The sequence below is a fragment of the Homo sapiens genome, chromosome 10 (assembly GCF_000001405.40).
Source record: "Homo sapiens chromosome 10, GRCh38.p14 Primary Assembly".
NCBI classification, from domain to species: Eukaryota; Metazoa; Chordata; class Mammalia; order Primates; family Hominidae; genus Homo; species Homo sapiens.
In genome coordinates, this window is record NC_000010.11 from 54,309,959 (window position 1) to 54,329,776 (window position 19,818).

General features: G+C 33.6%; 1 protein-coding gene across 20 annotated transcripts in view; it reads right to left on the reverse strand.

Moving 5' to 3' along the window:
• The window catches only part of PCDH15 (protocadherin related 15), a 1,825,172-nt gene that overhangs the window by 507,188 nt on the left and 1,298,166 nt on the right, over positions 1 to 19,818 (reverse strand). For 19 of the 20 annotated variants that reach the window (XM_047425663.1, NM_001354420.2, NM_001354429.2 and 16 more), the window contains 2 exons: positions 19,638 to 19,748; positions 7,313 to 7,483 (listed from right to left, as the gene is read on the reverse strand). In XM_047425663.1, the coding sequence (XP_047281619.1) occupies positions 7,313 to 7,483; positions 19,638 to 19,748 (282 nt within the window). The remainder of the gene's footprint in view (positions 1 to 7,312; positions 7,484 to 19,637; positions 19,749 to 19,818) is intronic. The other variant, NM_001142767.2, reaches the window with a different exon arrangement.

Sequence of the window (19,818 nt, forward strand, 5' to 3'; positions counted from 1 at the left end):
AATGGGATCACAAAGAGAAACTATTAGTTTTGAGGATCTATCATTTTAGGTTAACTGATATGAACCTTCAATAACAAATATGTGCTTAACATATGAAACAGAGAGAAAGTAGGGTAATTCTCAGAGTTGTTCAGGGTCATATGTGATGTTCTGTGTGCCTAGACAAGTTGTACTATGTGTGTTAGAAGAGATGAGACTGGAAAGTGGTCAGATATAAGTTACTTTGAATGATAAGATAAAAGCCGTGGAATTCATTTGGTGTATGATGGAAAACACTGAACCTTTTTAAACACCAAAAAATCAGATCAGCATTGTATTGAAAAACAAAAACAAAAACAACTTTGGCTTTATTGTGATGGTGGTTAGAGGAGTGAGAGACTGGAGGCCGGATGCCGAGTTTAGAGTATGTCTTTAAATAGATGTTCTGACAGTGTAAATAGACAGGTGTCAAACAGATTTGAGTAAGAGTATATAGGTAATGCAGAAAATGGCTTTGGAGATTGATTGAGTTTGGAACGGAGGTCATTGAAGTCTAGGTTCAAATCAATAATGACCACAGGAGTAACAATACATAGTAAGTATGGATACATTAGAATTGGATAGAAAGAATAATGAGGCATCTGCCAGAAACACAGTTAAAAATATCCAGAAAAAGACGAGAAATTCAAACTTGGAACTCAAGACAGATTTCAAGTTAGAAGACTTATCTACAACAAATACATAATCCCTATTTGAGGAAAAATAGAACTCTATATAGGTTTGCTCAACTCAATCTTAGTAAAACAATAAGGGAGAAAAAAAGAATTACAAAAGAGAGAAGCCTTGGAACTCTTTAAAATTTAATCATAATTTTAAAATAAATTTCAAAATAAATAAAAGTGATCAAAGATTTAAGAGGCAAAATCCAAGGCCACCAAGGGAATGAGAAAAAACGGTACTTCCATAAAAAAGCAAGAGAGGAGAGATTTCCCAGACTGTAATATATTTAATGTGAGGCTATGCCAAGAAGAAATGATAAGTGTTGTAGATCACTGAAAATCATCATTACTTTTCTGATAACTGAGAAAGCTTCCCCGGAGGGAGAGGGTTTCATAGATAAACCAGAGAAGCTGTTTTTGACATGAAAGCTAGATTTTTTAAGACAAAGATTGAAGTTGAGATGTTTGTCACTAGAAATTATTGGGATCCAATCCAATGGTTTTAAACAGGGGGAGAGAAAAAGATGACCATGTTCAGTGAGCAACTGATGTTGAAATACTGAAAACCACATGGTGCAATAATTAAAGGAAGGTATACACAGTAAACGCATAGAAAATACGTTAATATATCATTCATTTTTCTGTCCAGGGATAAATAACACTGCAAAAGAAAAAACAGCCAACCAATCAAGCAAACACATAAATGTATGCTACTGTTCAATTGAAAAAAATGCATAAGGATTTATCATGGTTTTATCTGTGCTTCATTAGAAAATAAAGCCAAGGATTTTATACTCCAAATTCTACAGACTTTTTTCATAATACCAGAAAACCTTAACTTTACAGACATAATAACTTTAAAAGAGTTGGAAATTAAGAATAAACATACATAATAATATATCTGGGCAATAATTTATTTCATCCTACTTGCCTAGCATCCTCAACGTAGTTTGGCATACATTAAGGTCCTATAGAAATTTATCAAATTAATACTAAATTAGCAGAGTACTATGAATTGCTTTCTACCTTTGTAACACCAGATGTATATATTTATGTGTTCAATATAATATTAATCTTAGTGTTTGTGAAAACATTAATTTGCCAAAGAGAGTTGTTTATATTAGAAAACCGTGTAATCTACATTTATAAAATCAGTGTATTTCTAAACAAGTGACTTTAAATTTTGATATAAAGCGATTTTTATTTTTATTATATCATAGTTCATGAGATAAATTTATTAATAGACTATATTTTTAAAAGTTTTTCTGAACTGACAAATTCTGCATGTATTATAATGGGGTTAGGAATGGTTTCTCAAGTCAAGAATACCACCAAAGTAAGGAAAATTTCACATCAACATAGGTGAACAGGTGGCAAGTCTTCCAAAATTTGAAGAATTCTTTCAAGAAAGGATCAGCAAGTATGTAATTAGAGTCAACATGTTCTGTTTAGCTGACATTAATGGTTAGCTTTCACTCTGGAGAGCAAGATCTTATTGAAATTTCATGAAATTTTAGCAGAATATATAAAGGAAAATAGAAAAAGAGACAATCAAAAAGAATAAAAGTACAGACATAAACACAGTAATTTGAATGTGAAGCTCAAAAACTAACTCCAGTTTTTATACCTAGTGTTCTAGAATGGATTCAAAATAACAATATACATAACAATGTACATAAAAACCTGATGCCAGTACTAAGGATGATTTTATTTTCTAAAGATTGCCACAATAACATTTTCTTTTCCATATGCTCTTCTTATAATGTGACTTGGACACCCCTCATATAGGGAGGTGGAGTATGTTTCTACCCCTTGAAACTGGCAGAGATTTGACTACAACAGAACTGACCCTTCAAATTCCATAGCTAATTTATGAAAATTTCTGCCTAATTCTCTTGGGAAGCTTGTTGTGACAACCCACTGTCTTGCTGTGAGGAAGCCCCAACAGCCTATAAGAGGCTTCAGTGGGGTGAAAATGAAGCCTCAGTCTTCAATCCTGGATGAGCACCAGCCAACAGCCAAAATCAACTTGGTAGCCATCTAAGTTAATCATTATGAAAGTGGCACCCAGCCCTCAGTTAAAGTGCCACAGCTGATGCTGCATGGAGCAAAGATAAGATGTTTTCTCAAGTCTTGCTAAAATTGCAGCTTAGTGAGCAAATTAAATGATTGTAGTTTGAGCCCACTAAGTTTTGGTGGCCTGTTATACGGTGACTGATAATCTGACCAAGTGCCTAGGCTTACAAGTAAATATATCTATATTTTTGTACATGAAATAAAAAAATAAATATTTGCCATAATTACTTAAATGTATAAATCTTAAATTCTCATTTTTTCAAAGTATGTTAAGGAATGGCTCAATCTGTTAAAAATGATAAAAGGATCAAGATTGATCATTCCAGAATTTCTTCCATAATATTTAATTCAAAAAGCAAGGTTTTAAAAGAAAATAAAAGAGTAATTGTTCAAAAAAATATTTATTGATCTTCAGTTAAAGACCTCCTTTTTTTACTGGCAAGAATCCACTATCCTTAGGATCTTTCATGCTCTTTGCCCAAACACTACTTTACAAAGGATTCAGAGCATAAAAAATTTCCTGACTTATTTCTTCACCATTAGTTCATTATTCTCCTTATGTTAGGATATGCAATATTTAATATTGGACTGGGTTTGTCATCTGAAGACTGAATAAGTTTTATCCTTGGACTAGTTCTACTTTGAGTACTGATACTCAAAATATGAATATTATAGTACAACAAGGGAGATAGTGAGGCATTCTGACCAAAAATTTGCCCATACTCTCTGAAAATACTTTTGGATATAAATATTTTTCAACAACTATGTCCACCTACAGAGTGAATCTCCAACTTAACCCAGGCTGCCAGAGCCAGAAAAAACCTGCTATCAATTTTTGCATGTAGAGCTAGGACTCAAATGTATCTTAATTTTATTTACTCTTCCTAAATTGTATCTATATACTTAAACTGTCTACCAGAAACGTTTTTGTGTATATTCAACACATGCAACCAGTTAATATTTGTGCAGAGCTTAGCATAGTTCATTACGAACAGAACATTCTATACAACCTCTAGACATTATGATCACTTACGTTATTACCCCAAATTGAAAGTATAATCTGGTCTCTAGCATTAAACTGCATAGGAATGAGAGAGATGCTCAGTCTGTAATCTGGAGAGGAAAGGAAGGTCAATGATTCTTTGTAAAATTAAGTTTGTACACTCTGCTTTTCAAGCAGCAGTCTCTATCTTCCTTTACTTTCCTCAATGAACTAACTACTAGTAAACAGTCATCAGACTGACTCATTGAATTGGATTATTGCGGTTTCAATGTATACCTTCTCTTGGGGTCCCACTGGTACACTAGCTGAATCTATTAACTCGGAAACATAAATTAATACTAAAAATATATTTTTCTTTTTCCTTTTTTATATTTAAAAGGATTTTAATTGGAAGTACACACACACACACACACACACACACACACACACGCAATACAGAGTGCCAAATTTGTATGGGGATGATTGAAAAAGATTATTATCAAGTATTAAATATTTGTTTCAGCATATTTGTTTTTTCACTGTTGTCTTTCCGAATAGAAATTTTCGAATGAAACAAAAATGCACATTTTAATACCAGCCCAATATACTTGATCCTTACATGTTTAAATTTCATGTGCAAAAAATGATTAGTCATAGAGCAAACCCACCCTCTTGTAGAAATTTTAAAAGATTTTAATGCCAGCGTAATATACTTGAACCTTACATGCTTAAATTTCATGCACAAACAATGATTAGTCATGGAGCAAACCCACCCTCTTGTAGATATTTTAAAAGATAAATAAAAATGAAACTTTTTTAAAAAAAGAGTTATATTTTAGGTTCAGGGGTCCATATGCAGGTTTGTTACATAGGTGAAGTCGTGTCATGGGAGGTTGTTGTATAGATTATTGCGTCACCCAGTTAGTAAGCCCAGTACCCAATAGTCATCTTTTCTGCTCCTCTGTCTCCTCCTACCTTCCAACCTCAAATAGACTTCAGGGTCTGTTGTTCTCTTCCTTCTGTTCATGAGTTCTCATCATTTACCTCCCACTTATATGTGAGAATATGCGGTATTTGGTTTTCTGTTCCTGTGTTAGTTTGCTAAGGAAATTAGCCTCCCACTCCATCTATGTTCCCGCAAAAGACAAGACCTCATTATTTTTTATAGCTGTATAGTATTCCATGTGGTATATGTACATCATTTTCTTTATCCAATCTGTCATTCATGGGCATTTAGATTGACTCCATGTCTTTGCTATTGTGAATAGTGCTGCCATGAACATTCATGTGCATGTGTCTTTATGGCAGAATGATTTATATTCCTCTGGGTATATTCCCAGTAATAGGACTGCTGGATCAAATGGGAGTTCTTCTTTTAGCTCTTTGAGAAATTGCCACATGGCTTTCCACATGGTTGAACTAATTTATACTCCCACCAACAGTGTATAAGTGTTCCCTTTTCTCTGCAACCTTGCCAGCATCTGTTATTTTTTGACTTTTTAATAATAGTCATTTTGACTGACTGTGCAATGGTTTCTCATTGTGGTTTTGATTTGCATTTCTCTAACGATTAGTGACATTTAACTGTTTTTCATTTTTTTATTGGCCACATGTATGTATTCTTTTGAAAAGTGTTCATGTCCAAAAGAAAACACTTTTTGATGTTTTTATTTAATTCTTGTAATTTTAAATTCCTCATAGATGCTGGATATTAGACCTCTGTCAGATGCATAGTTTGCAAATATTTTCTCCCGTTCTGTAGGTGGTCTGTTCACTCTGTTGATAGTTTATTAAGCTGTGCAGAAGCTCTTAAGTTTAATTAGATCCCATTTGTCAATGTTTGCTTTTGTTGCAATTGCTGTTGGTTCTTTGTTACAAAATCTTTGCCTGTGCCTTTGTCCTGAATAGTATTGCCTAGGTGGTCCTCCAGGGTTTTTCTAGTTTGGAGTTTTACATTTAAGTCTTTAATCCATCTTGAGTTGATTTTTGGTTATGGTATAAGGAGGGGGGGGTCCAGCTTCAATCTTCATATGGCTAGCCAGTTCTCCCAGCACCATTTACTGAATAGGAAGTCTTTTTGCCACTACTTTTGTCAGCTTTGTCGAAGGGCAGATGGCAGTAGGTGTGCAGCCTTATAAAAATTATGTTTGTCATCATTACTTTTACCAGTCCTTTCAAGTAAAATTTTTATGTTCACCATCTTTAATAGTTTGTGTGTTTTTTTTGTTTGTTTGTTTGTTTTTGTTTTTGTTTTTTGGGTTTTGTTTTTTTTTTTGGCTGGGATTCAACAAAATAACATAATGGCATATAACTTTAGGTATTCTACATCTATTTTGTCCAGTCAAGTTCTGATTAGCTTTTTTGCCTGCAAAAATACTTCATTTGGCTGAAAACATATTTTTATCCAATGCACATAACTATTTATTTTTCTCTCCAGCTGTTTTTTTTATTCATGCAAGTTAACTGGACCAGTGATCATTGCTGTGAGTAGACTCAAAAGTGATTCTCAGCTATTTTAGATCTGCTGTGAGAAAAACCAATAGATGTATTAATATTATAACATTGGATAAGCACTCTGGCTTTACATTTAGGAGGCATTCCTGTTCTATTCCTCAAAATCTCAAATAGAGGACCCTCAGAACTTCAGTTCTCATGTATTTTGAGGAAAAAAAGTCAAGTAGCTTCCAACAAATTCTAACACTTTGAGCCATTTTGGGAACCCAGAGAGCTGATTGCTTTCCAGGGAAATAGCAAAAATACTGGTTAAATGGTTAAATCCTAGACCACGGAATTTTTAAAAACAGAATATGTGTATACACACACACACACACACACACACACACACACACACACACACACACAAATACACCTTTTAGGGGAGAAATTGATATTTTTGCCTCAGCAGGATATCCATTTGCCTTAAAATTCTTATTCTTAGGTATGTACATCAATCATCTGGGGAGGTCCAAGCTGTGAAATCCAAACTGACAGAAATTTATAGCTCCATTAGCATTTATCAAAAATACAGGATTAAGTGTAGAAAATATGTATTCATGCTTCACCTTTCTATATCTTTACTTTAAGAGGTAAGTATTTGTATTCAGTATTTGTTAGCTCCTACCTTCAAACGGCCAAACATAATCTCCAATAACATTTCAGAATTCTACTGGGCCAAAAATGTATCCTATTGACCTGTGTGTCCTCTGACTTACGACTGCATGTTTAAATATGAATTTAAGAAAATGCTGCACTGATTATTTGGAGTTTTTCAGAATGGCTAGTGAATTCCTTGGTGATTTATTGGTAAAAAAATAAAATAAAATAACCATGTTGGACTGTTGTTTCATAACATACTTTCTATTTGGAAATTATATAATTACTCTTTGTGTTAAAAATGTATTCATACTCCCTGAAAATAGTTTCGGACATAAATATTTTTCAATGTGCATATACTGAGTTTTGCTATTATAAATTATATGTCTACAAAATACTTGAACATGATCCCATTGGGTTTTAAAACATGCAAATAAATGGAGAAAGATAAGAGTATATTTACCGGAGTTCTCAACTCAGGTATGGCAGCTTGATAAGTGAGTGGACGGCAATCACGAGTGTTTGGCACAAGGACACAAGGAAGAAACATTGGACCCAAGTCATCTCCATCCAGAACATCCACTGTGAGAGTGGTGGTGGTGGTTCGCCTCTCATTCAGATTTTGGGCACGGTCCTGTTAGGGAGAAAAACAAACAACAGGTAGTTTATAGAAATTAGGCACAATAGCCAGGAGCAGTGGCCCATACCTGTAATCCCAGAACTTTGGGAGGCCAAGGTGGGTGGATCACTTGAGGTCAGGGGTTTGATACCAGCCTGGCAAACATGGTGAAACCCCGTCTCCACTAAAAATACAAAAATCTGGGTGTGGTGGCAGGAGCCTGTAGTCCCAGCTACTTGAGAGGCTGAGGCAGGAGGATCGCTTGAACTTGGGAAGCAGAAGTTGCAGTGAGCCAAGATCACGCCACTGCACTCCAGCCTGGGCGACAGAGTGAGACTCAGTCTCAAAAAACAACAACAAAAAAGAAATTAGGCACAATGTAGACTTAGTTTTCATTGAAAAAAAAAAGATTGGTAAATTAACTTGCTTAAACCAACAGTTTTAAGTGGTTGAGTCAGGATGTAAACTGAGATCCAATTGTCTTCAAAGCAACTTTCTTGAAAGTATGTTACAGTAGTTAAGCTTTTGTATGTTAGGCCTTTACCTAACAGTTCACATTACTAGACAGCCTAACCATAAAGGTCACTCTCATCTCATTAGAGCATTTACTTTAGAAACCTTGTAATTGTAAATTCCTTCTCTGCGCCTCTGAGGTGTTAATCTTTTATAAGCTGCTTGTCAGTTCTACAAACCAGGCCCATCTTTTTCATGCCCTGGGGGGCCATCTCTTTGAAATGTAATAGTCAAGGAAGAAGCCCGTATTTCCCAGTTTCTGTGGGAGGTTAGGAGCCTGACTTCCTTTGGAGGCTTGCTCCAATTTCTAAAACTACTTTCTGTCATGAAAATTCAAGGAAATTTATTTTCCTTTGGGAATGCCAATTAGTAAACACATCTGGTCTGTGATTCCCCCACACCCAAGTCCACTGGAGTGTTTAACAGCTCTCCAGCCATTTTTTCTATTAGAGATCAGTTCAGATCTAGTCTGTATTCTGGTCTCTCTTCTCTATTGCAATAGCTGTGAATACAGTCTTCCTTATCATTTAACTTTGTCTAGTGCAATTTTGCTGTAGGAATACATTGTTACTAACTAAAATCCAAAGTTTCTTTAGATTTCCTTAGTTTTTACTTAATGTCAGTTTTCTGTTTCAGGATCCCAATCAGGATACCAGTTTGCATTTAGTCATAATGGTTCCTTAGGCTCATTTTGGCTGTGACAAGTTCTCAGACTTTTGTTTTTGATGACATTGACAATTTTGAGCACTGGATATTTTGCAGAATGTCCCTTAATGGGTGTTTATCTGGTGTTTTCCTCAAGATTCAACTGCGGTTATGTGATGTATGTAGGAAAACCACAAGTCAACTGCTATTTTGACATATTTATCAAAAGTATATGATTAATATGACTTATCACTGTTGTTAACTTCATCACCTGGCTGAGGCTGTATCTAGTCAGTTTTCTCAACTATAAATTTCCTCTTTCTTGTTTCCCTTTCATTTCTTTGGAAGGAAATCATGATGGACAGCACACACTTAAAGAATGGGTAGTAATTTTATTAGAAATGTAAATTGTTTATATTTATCTGAAGAATGTTTGTCATAGGACAGAAGAAAATAATATTGGACCTAAGTCATTTCCATGAAGAACATCCATTGTCAAGGGTGGTGGTGGTAGCATCATTCATTATGACAGAATCTGGAAATGTTTTTACTTTCACAGCATTTAGTTATTATTTTGAAGAACTATTATGCTTTTCTGCCTTTTTGAATTCTATTTTGTACAACATTGACAAGTATACTTGCATGCATGTTCATGTAGCACTATTCACAACAGACAAAACTTGGCAAAAGCCCACATATTTATCAATGAATAAATGGATAAACAGATTGTGGTATGTACACACAATAGCATATGATTCAAGCATAAAAAGAAATGAAGTACTGATATATACAACAACATGAATGAGCCTTGAAAACATCATGTTTTCAAATAAAGAAGCCAGACAAAAAATAAGGTCACATATTATACGATCCATTTATATGCAATATCTGGCAGCAGTAAACATATTGGTGGCTACAAGGAGCTGGGGAGGGGATATGGAAAGCAACTGCATGAGTGGTGCCAGCTCTTTTTGGAGTGATTAAAATGTTTGGGAACTGGATAGAGGCGGTGGTTGCACAATACTGTGAGTGTACCAAATGCCATTGAATTGTTCACTTTAAAATGGCTAATCTTATTTTGCTAATTTATGTTAAATAATTTTTAAAAGTAATTATACTAACAGACCTGTATTTTTTTTTTTTTGTTCATAAAATGTCTTCCTTTGTGACAGTTCCCAGACATTAATATTTGCCTTCCAATTAAAAAAAAAGTCCCTCTTGTTAAACATGGTTAATAGTACATTTTGGTTAAGCTCATTCCCAGTCTGGTTGCTCATAAAAACTTGTAAAGCAATGCTTGAGGGTAAAGTTTTAGGAAACACGAATTTCTGTTGGTGGAATTTTGTCAGTACAACCTTGTCTAGAATGTAATAACTCTGTGGTTCCAGGATTCTTTGATATTTTTATACAGTATAAGACAGACTGCGATAAAATTATAGCTTAAAAAAACACAAAATGTTTAAATTTTCAAAGTTTCGGAACTCACTCAGATCCCTAGAGGCACTATAAAGATTATTCAAACCTAAAGACATTTGAGATTCAACAAACAGAAAGAAGTCTTTTCTGAACTTCTTTTATGTCACTAAAAGCAGATACTTATGAGAGTGAGGCTGCCATGAATTCCCTCTGCCAAGAAAGTTTATGAAAATGAAGAAAAAACAAGGAAATCTATTCTTACCTACATAAACATGATCACAAGCTATTTTAATCTCCCCTTTGACTCCTAGAAACCTAGTTTTTCTTCCCTTAGAAGCCTCCTCCCTCTCATTGTGTTAAATATATACACCTTCTTCTTTAGCTGTTTAAGGAGCTGTGTATATGCACTCCCATATGTATATCAACCTCTAGGCCAGTTGAAAAGTAGAGTAGGAGCAACATGTGGCATGTGAGATAATTTTGGTGGTTCACAAATTAACTTTATAAATTATTCTTAAGATGTATGAATTTTGAACATGTAGAAAAATATTAATTTAAAATAAGCGTATGTGTATATTTTAAATTTTAAAAAAAAATAGCTCATCAAACTTGCCACTTTTTTAATACTGATCTTTTATTTAATTGGGTTATAGCTATGTCTATAATATATGAATTAATAGACAAATGATGTAATGATTTGTTCAGTCAGCATATCCTGAGTAGCTTCCAAGGGGCAGATTCCAATACACTGCTTCTGACGGTCTTAAAAAAATGATGAGGACATGTTTCCTCATCCCATTATTAAGAGAGTCATTTAGTACTGAAAATTACTAATGTTAAGATAATGTGACCTCATAAAGATTAGTAGGTTATATTTTCACATATATTTCCCTTTGTGTTGCATCATCCAGTGTTTTAAATCATTAAGTAATCTCATCTTCCATATTTCTAAAGTTATATTAAAGTTTAAGAACTAAAACAAATCTTTAAATTTCTAAATATATATATATAAACTGGAAGCTTCTTTAATAGGGGTGGTAAACTTTTGTTACATTTATTAATGATTTTACATTTGACATTTTTCTCAATAACAAATAAGTTAATAAAATGACATATTTAATATGTATTTGTAAATTTACTTGTGGCACTGGAGTTAATATTTGAAAATTTTTTTATTTATAAAATATTTATTTATTTATTTATTTATTTTAGAAATGAGAATCTCACTACATTGCCTATACTGACTTCAAAATCCTGGGCTCAAGTAATCCTCGCACCTCAGCCTTCTGAGTAGCTAGGACTATAGGTATGTGCCTGGCTTTAACCCACCATTTAAAATAATGATTGCTTATGAAGTTTTAAAAGATTGAATTAATCTAAATTTAATTTATAAAAATAGTAAATAGATAATAAATATTAAATATTTATAATATTTTATGTGATACATGAATGTAGCATGCAGATATAAACACACATATATATGCATATATACACATACATGCATATAAATGCCAGAGGCAATATTTCTACCCTTCCATGTCACTCAGCCTTCTTTATATGTAATCATCAAATCACTATAATAAACAAATTTGAATTTTTTAATGTTATGTTTTCTTTCAGTCTGTCAGCATCAAATCTCTCACTATTATCTGCTTCTTTGGGTCATTGTCACTACTCCATAGAATAGATACTGGTGTGTTAAAGATAGTGTATTTACAGGAAGTGTATACCAAAATACATAATAGGAGTTTTTTCTCATATTGGGGAAAGATATTGCTTACAAAGTGTTGAGCTCTAAAATTTGTATTTTTAAGTGGGAAATAAAAATAATCCTGGCAAAATGATTGTGAGCAGAGATGTAGCAACAAAATCTACTAACAGTTTCCACACGTGGGAATTCTCCCACATTTTATCACCAACACATATCACATAGGAAAATATATAAAAATATGTCTCATGCACACTCATAACTTGTGAGCCCATAATGGTAATGCTAATTCATGATGTTCTCCCAATTTGGAATCAGATTTGATCTTAAAATATCCATTTAAAAAATAATCCTTCAGCAATTGAGATAAAAATCAAAACAAAAACAACAAAAACAGAAAAAACAAAACAACCTACACTTTTGATCTTTATAGTAATATACTACTGCTCAAGGCTCTTCTGAGTAAATGAAATAACATTCTAAATTGTGAGTGGTAAAAAATAAAAAATAACTATTTCTATAAACATTCCATATAATTTAATTATGTTTTCATTTACGTTATGTGATAATCTAATATATATTAAAATCCACAAAGAAGATCTCCTTTCTTCCCTTTCCCATTTTCATCTGCATTTCTCTTCTTTTTTAAAAAATAAGAATATATATTTAACTTCAATTATTTAAAAATAACAGGATATTACATTAAGTTAGGAAACTGTGATTCTAGTTGGCAAGCAAGAATATCTTTTAAAAAGTTAAACAAGTTCAACCAGTACTCTGAACAGAATTGTGTCTCCTCAACCTCAAGCTAGAAAATCTAGAGTAAAGTGATATGTTTCTGGAAACACATAATGTTCCAAGATCGAATCAGGAAACTATTGAAACCCTGAACAGATGAATATTAAGCTGTGATATTAAATTAGTAATAAGAAACTTACCAACCAAAAAAAGCACTGGACCAGATAGACACACAGCTGAATTCTACCAGACATACAAAAATTGACTCAAGATGAATTAAAGATTTAAATGTAATACCTCAAGCTATAAAAATCCTAGAGGAAAACCTATTAAAACTCTTCTTGACATTGGCTTTAGCAAGGATTTCGTAATGATGATATCCTGAAAAGCAATTGCAACAAAAACAAAAACTGACAAGTAGCACCTAAACTAAAGAGCTTCGGCACACTAAAATAAACTGTCAATACAGTAAACAGAAAATGGAAAGAATGGGAGAAAAGCTATGCAAACTATGCATCTGACAAAGGTCTAATATTCAGAATCTATAAGGAACTTAAACAATTTAAGAAGCAAAAGACAAACAATCCCATTAAAATAGGGGCAAGGGACATGAACAGACACTTCTCAAAATAAGACATACATGCAGCCAACAAATATATGAAAACATGCTCATCAGCATTTATCATCAGGGAAATGCAAATCAAAACCATAATGAGATATCATCTCATACCAGTTAGAATGGCTATTATTAAAAAGTCAAAAAATTACATATACTGGTGAGGCTGCAGAGAAAAGGAAATGGTTATATGCTGTTGGTGGGTATGTAAATTATTTCAGACACTGTGGAAAGCAGTTTGAAGATTTCTCAAAGAATTTAAAACCAAGCTACCATTCAACCTACCAACCCCATTACTGGGTATATACACAAAGAAAAATAGTGCATTCTACCAAAAAGACACATGCATGTCTACATTAATTGCCATGCTATTCACAATAGCAAAAAACATGGAATCAACCTAGGTGCCCATCAATAGTGGATTGCATAAAGAAAATGTGGTGCATATACACCACGGAATACTACAAAGCCATAGAAAAGAATGAAATCATGTCCTTTGAAGCAACATGGATGAAGCTGGAGGCCATAATCCTAAGTGAATTAATGCAGCAACAGAAAACTAAATACTACATAATATCAGTTTTTCAATGGGAGCTAAACACCAAGTGCCCAGGGAAATAAACCTGGGAACAGTAGACTGTGAACTGCTGGGGCAAGGAGAGAGAATGGATCAAAAAACTACCCATTGAGTACTATGCTGACCACCTGAGTGCAATACACCCATGCAACAAACCTACATATGTACTCCCTGTGCTTAAAATAAAAGTTGAGGAAAAAAATAATGCTTCTATGAACATTAACCAGAGGAAGTTGGGTATTCTATTGTCTTGTAAACATTTTTTGTTTGAGATATTTGCCTAATATTTCTTATTTTTTATGCAAACCAGTAGACAGAATTATATTATCATTTATAGCCCCAAATGCTCATGTATCTTTAGTAGCCAAACACTCAGTAAATATTAGGTCCCATAAACCATCACCTGCTATCCTCCCATTTCACTCTCACTCCTCAGAAAATGCCCAAGAAACTTGCAGAGTTAAAACAATGGGGTTACAATTAACACTAATTCCACACATCAGTAGGAAGCAGAAGTGAGGGAAGGTCAGGGTAGAGGTTATTTCTGAAAAGTTGTTTACAAGGTTGAAATATAAAATATAGAAAATTAATTTTACCTATACAAACACATATGTTTGCAATGCTTACACATTTTATTTGAATATTTCTGTCCATAAAGATAAAAAATTGAGCTAATAAAGAAATAGTAATATTATAATTTTAGGAATTATATCTTGTTAGGAAAGATAGCTAGCATCCCTTCTCTAGATTTTGCTATTTGAGAAATATACAACACCCTTGCTATTCATAAAATAATTTAGAAATTATAAATTATTCTTGCCATGATTCTAAATTAAATTTAGGCCGGGCACAGTGGTTCATGCCTGTAATCCCAGAACATTGGAAGGCCAAGGTGGGCTGATCACTTGAAGTTGTTAATGGTTTCAGACCAGCCTGTCCAGCACAGTGAAACTCCGTTTCTACTAAAAATACAAAAAATTAGCTGGGAGTGGTGGCACATGCCTGTAATACCAACTACTCGGGAGGCTGAGTTAGGAGAATCATGAACACGAGAGGCGAAGGCTGCAGTGAACCGAGATCACCCCCCTGCACTACAGCCTGGGTGACAGAGCAAAACCCCATCTCAAAATAAATAAATAAATTATAAAATAAGTAAATATAAACTTTTTTCTTTCTGGTAATTAAGAAATCTTGATTACAAAAGTGTTCTTATATATTTCACTCAGGATAACAATAATATAAAAGAGAGTTTGCTTTGAAGAAAAATGATATGTAAAGAGATTACTTTGATTCTATGTGAATTAGGGTAACATATCAAAGTTGAGGTTATAATAATATGTAGTAAATTTCAACAAAAAGAAAACCCATTTGATCTTTCTAGATCTACCCCCAAAATTTTTGTCTGGAATTAATCATTCCTTCATTATGTATTTATATTTGAAGTCAATAGCATGGGTGACAATATTGCAAATATTCTCAAAAAAATATGTGACAGGGTTTTCTAATATGGGTCAGTCAAAACTCAATTACCTTAATTACGGATCATAACATGTAAACACGGATAAAAAGAAACCTCCAAACTACATGTAATTTGAAGGATTCTCTTCGAAAATCAAATATTTTTAACATAAGCAAAACCAGGTCAAAGCTGGGTAATGTTCAATAATTTGTCATGATACCTGTAATTATTCTTTTAGAGGCCATATACTTTAAAGTCAAAATTGATTGCTCATATCTTAATTCTCCTTATGACTTCAAGATAATATATTGGTGCTTAATGTACATGACTTACATTGTGCATACCACCAACACAATATAAAAAACCACTGCCAGGTGCAGTGGCTCATGCGTGTAATCCCAACACTTTGGGAGGCTGAGGTGAGTGAATTGCTTGAGGCCATGAGTTTGAGACCAGCCTGACCAACATGCTGAAACCTCGTTTCTACTACACATCCAAAAATTAGCTGGGTATGGTTGCACGCATCTGTAATCCCAGCTACTCAGGAGGCTGAGGCACGAGAATAGCTTGAACATGGGAGGCTGAGGTTGCAGTAAGCTGAGATCATGCCACTGCACTCTAGCCTGGGCAACATAGCAATACTCTCCTCCCCTCCCAAAAAGAAAATCCAGGTGTGGTGGTACGTTTGTGGTCCCAGCTAGTTGGGAGGCTGAGGCATGAGAATCACTTAAACCCCGTAGGCGGAGGTTGCAGTGAGCTGAGATCGCACCACTGTACTTCAGCCTGGGTGACAGAGCAAGACTGTCTCAAAATAAATAAATAAATAAGCAAACAAACAAACAAGATAAATGTAAAAAAAATGGAGGTACATTTTAGATATATGGATATCATTATCATATACAAACAAAGATATGTTAGACTTATGTTACTATTGGTATATACAAAACAGTTAATGATTAACAACCAGCTATCAGATAAGTAGCCCTGATTTGTAGCACTGGCACTTTCCATACTGTAAATGCTCCCAGCATGGCTGCAAATGTGAGATCACTGAACTCAGAGTTTGAAAGAGAAACCCACAATTGGCCCTCAAGCAAGTCTCAGCTGACTTTCCACCTCCAACAACCCACAGTTTTAAGTTACAGATTTAAAATGTTGTGAAAATGAGCATCCTTCTTTATCATTTGTGGAAGTGTGATATGTCACAACACTTTGAAAAATAATATAGCATTATCTACTAAGATTAAAAAGTATGTGAATATATATGTACAAATACACATACACATATACACATATATATGCATACATATAATTTTCTCAAAGCAATTCCATTTTTAATTACTGATTTTTAAACAGTAAAGTACCAGTATTTTAGTGATTTATATAATACTGTAATAATGTCTCAATATATTTCAAGCATTAGTCTAAGTACTTTTTTGTTTGCTAACTAGCTAATTGTAACCAGAACAATGTGGTATGTTTTATTAATATACCCATTTTACTGGTTAGGAAATTAACATACAAAGCATGCCCCAAATCACACAGCCAGTAAATGGCTGAACTGAGATTTGAACTCAGGTGACATAATTCACTACACTCACTGCCTCTCTTGAACATCATGAGGGTAGATATCAATTTGGTGCCAAAAACAAATGATCAAATAAACAAAAACGGAGTATTGTTGAATCAATGGTGATCCATTATTATTATCTTACATTATGTAGCTATTAAAATTATTTGTTCTTAAAACTTTTAAAAATGCTTAAAATGTTATAACTTTCTATATTTAACATTTCATTGTGTACTGTATGACTTAAGTTTATAACAAAAACTGTTATTGCATTTAAATTCAAATGTTCATTCGACTTCTTCCTAATGCTATTCCTTCCTTTTGATGATTCACATATGTACTTCTGTTTTATAACTTTATCCCTGAAATGCTAAAAACTTGTCACTACCTCAGTGATGAGTAGTCCATCATGTTGGATAGAAGTTGTTCCAGATGTCTTTATAAATATTTTAAAACTAGACACCAATTCAGAATCTTTTACCTTGCATTTCTATTAAAAAATTATATCTTTTTAATTGCATGATAAAAAAACTAGCTTACAAATACCTTCCACAGCAATCTGACTTCATAAAAAAGACATTCTACCTTTTCTTCACATCTTCAGTTAAATAGAAAAAAGAATTTTCTGTGTTTTTGAAAAACTCTGAGTGGCCCTCCCTAATACATTTTACTTTTCCCCATATCTACAGTTTTCACTCTGCTCTATGTTACATGACATTAAAATATATACACACATACAGACACACACATAATACATATAACATCTTATAATATATAATTATAATATATAAAATAATAAATCATTTTTAAAATCTGAAGAAATATAAATAAAAGCTTCCAAACTTAGCTTCAAAAATTAGATCTATATGTCTATCTACATATTTCTATCTACATATCCCTAATTATATATCTATCTAGGTATCTATCTATACACATACACATTCTGTGTCAGGTGATATATCTCTAAGAAAGGCAAGAAAATGACAAGTTTGTGGCACATTTTTTCATGTTAACTTCTTCAGAACAGCTAATTGAGGTTATTTTCCTTTTAGCATCCCCTGCTATCTATCTGTTCTGCTGTATGAGCAAGATTACAACGCTTAGGAGTCATTAAAGGCACAGGATGGCTTCAGAGTATAGCTGCTTTAAAAAAGAAAAGGCTATTAATTTAGAGCAGTTTTAGGTTTATAGAAAAATTGAGAGGAAGGTATATACACCATGTCTCCACACGTGCACATCCTCCCCACTTACAACATCCCTAATCAAAGTTGTACATTGGTTACAATTGATGAATCTACATTGAACAATGATAATCACCAAAGTTCATCCTTTACATTAAAGATCACCGTTGGTGTTGTACATTCTATGGGAATGGACAAATGTATAATGATATCTATCCAACTTCATGGTATCATCCAGAGTATTTTCACTGACCTAAAAATATTTCATGATCCTTCTATTAATCCCTTTCTACCTGCCTTTACCACCATATCCCTGACATCCACTGATCTTTATACTATTTCCCCAGCTTTGCCTTTACCAGAATGTTATATATTGGAATCATCCAGTATGTAGCCTTTTCTTAATGGTTTATTTTGCTTATAAGTATGCATTCAAGATTTCTCCATACTTTTTATATCTTTATGCCTCATTTCTTAACGGTTATTTCAAAAACGTAAGCTTGTCACTTAATATGGGACTTTTTATGTGACCTCCCCTTCTAGCTTTTTTCTCAAGGGGTACTCCCATTCATCTTGCTAAGAAAAGAAAAATGTTTTCAGGTCATCAGTGTGCCCAGTCTCAGGATATGAACTATACATAGTATAATTCAGAAGTGAATACCGCATATCCCTTTGACACATATGGACTTCCTCAACCTTCGTTCCTATTATGCTGACACAGGTGATACAAGTCTAGAAGGAGATGTTGGATGGGAGAAAACTCTGAAGAGAGTATCTTCCCAGATAAAAGAAGGAAGAATCAATAAACGTAAAAGAAATCCTAGTTTTGCTACCCTTTCTGCCTGTTGCATTCAGACTTGAAATGCAGTTGTGATGCTTATGGCCATGGTACACAAATACCTCCCAGCTGATAAGGCATTGGGAAAATAACCACATTCCAGAGAAGAGGGAAGTATAAGGATGGAAGGAACCTAAGTCCCTGGTGATATAATTGAACTGTCAAACCAAACATTGAGCTGCATAATTCCAGAAATTTTATTAAACTTCCACTAATAATAACTATAATAAATGTCTATGTTTTATAAGCATATAAGCATGTCTATGTTATATAAGCATGTAAGGATATCTATGTTTTATAAGTATATAAACCATGTCTGTGTTTTACAAGCATATGTTTGGATGTCCTGTTATTGTTATCTACATACATTAGCATAAACTTCAGTTATGGGAATATTAGCTGATATCTAGTGAACAATTACTCAATAAATGATAGCCATGAGGAAGAACACGACCAATTAGGCAATGATTCTTTGCCTTTAGTGTACCTTAGAATTCCCTGAAGAGCTAATTAAAAATGCAGATATTCCACTTCCATCATCTGAGATTTTTATTCAGAACATCTGAGGTAGGGTCCAGAAATATGTATATTTAATACACACCCAAGGTGATTCTGCTGCTGTTAATTTGCAGGATCCTACTTTGAAAAATATTTCAGTATAGTCTAAAAAGGTTGGATAATGGATAATACATATGAATAATTTAGAGGTCAAAGAATACAGTGAATAAAAACAACCTATTCTATCCCTTTCTCCATCTATAAGAGTATTATATATAAACACCAAGGGCAGGAGTGCCCTGATGAAGAAGTGAGTGGCACAGAGCTCTCCAAGAGTATCTGATACATTTTGGATGAGTTTTTTACTTCATAAATTCACAGAAGAAATTTAAAAGAAATTGAATACTCACATTAGCTTGGATTATGACAAAGTAGCGAGTCTTATCTTCATAGTTGAGCCTCTTCCTTAACACTATATTTCCAGTCAACATTAGGGGAATTTCAAAGGTGTCATTGGATGTCTGCAAATATTAAAGATACAGACTTCAGATTATTTGAATGTAAGATGAATTAATAACTCAATATTTTGGA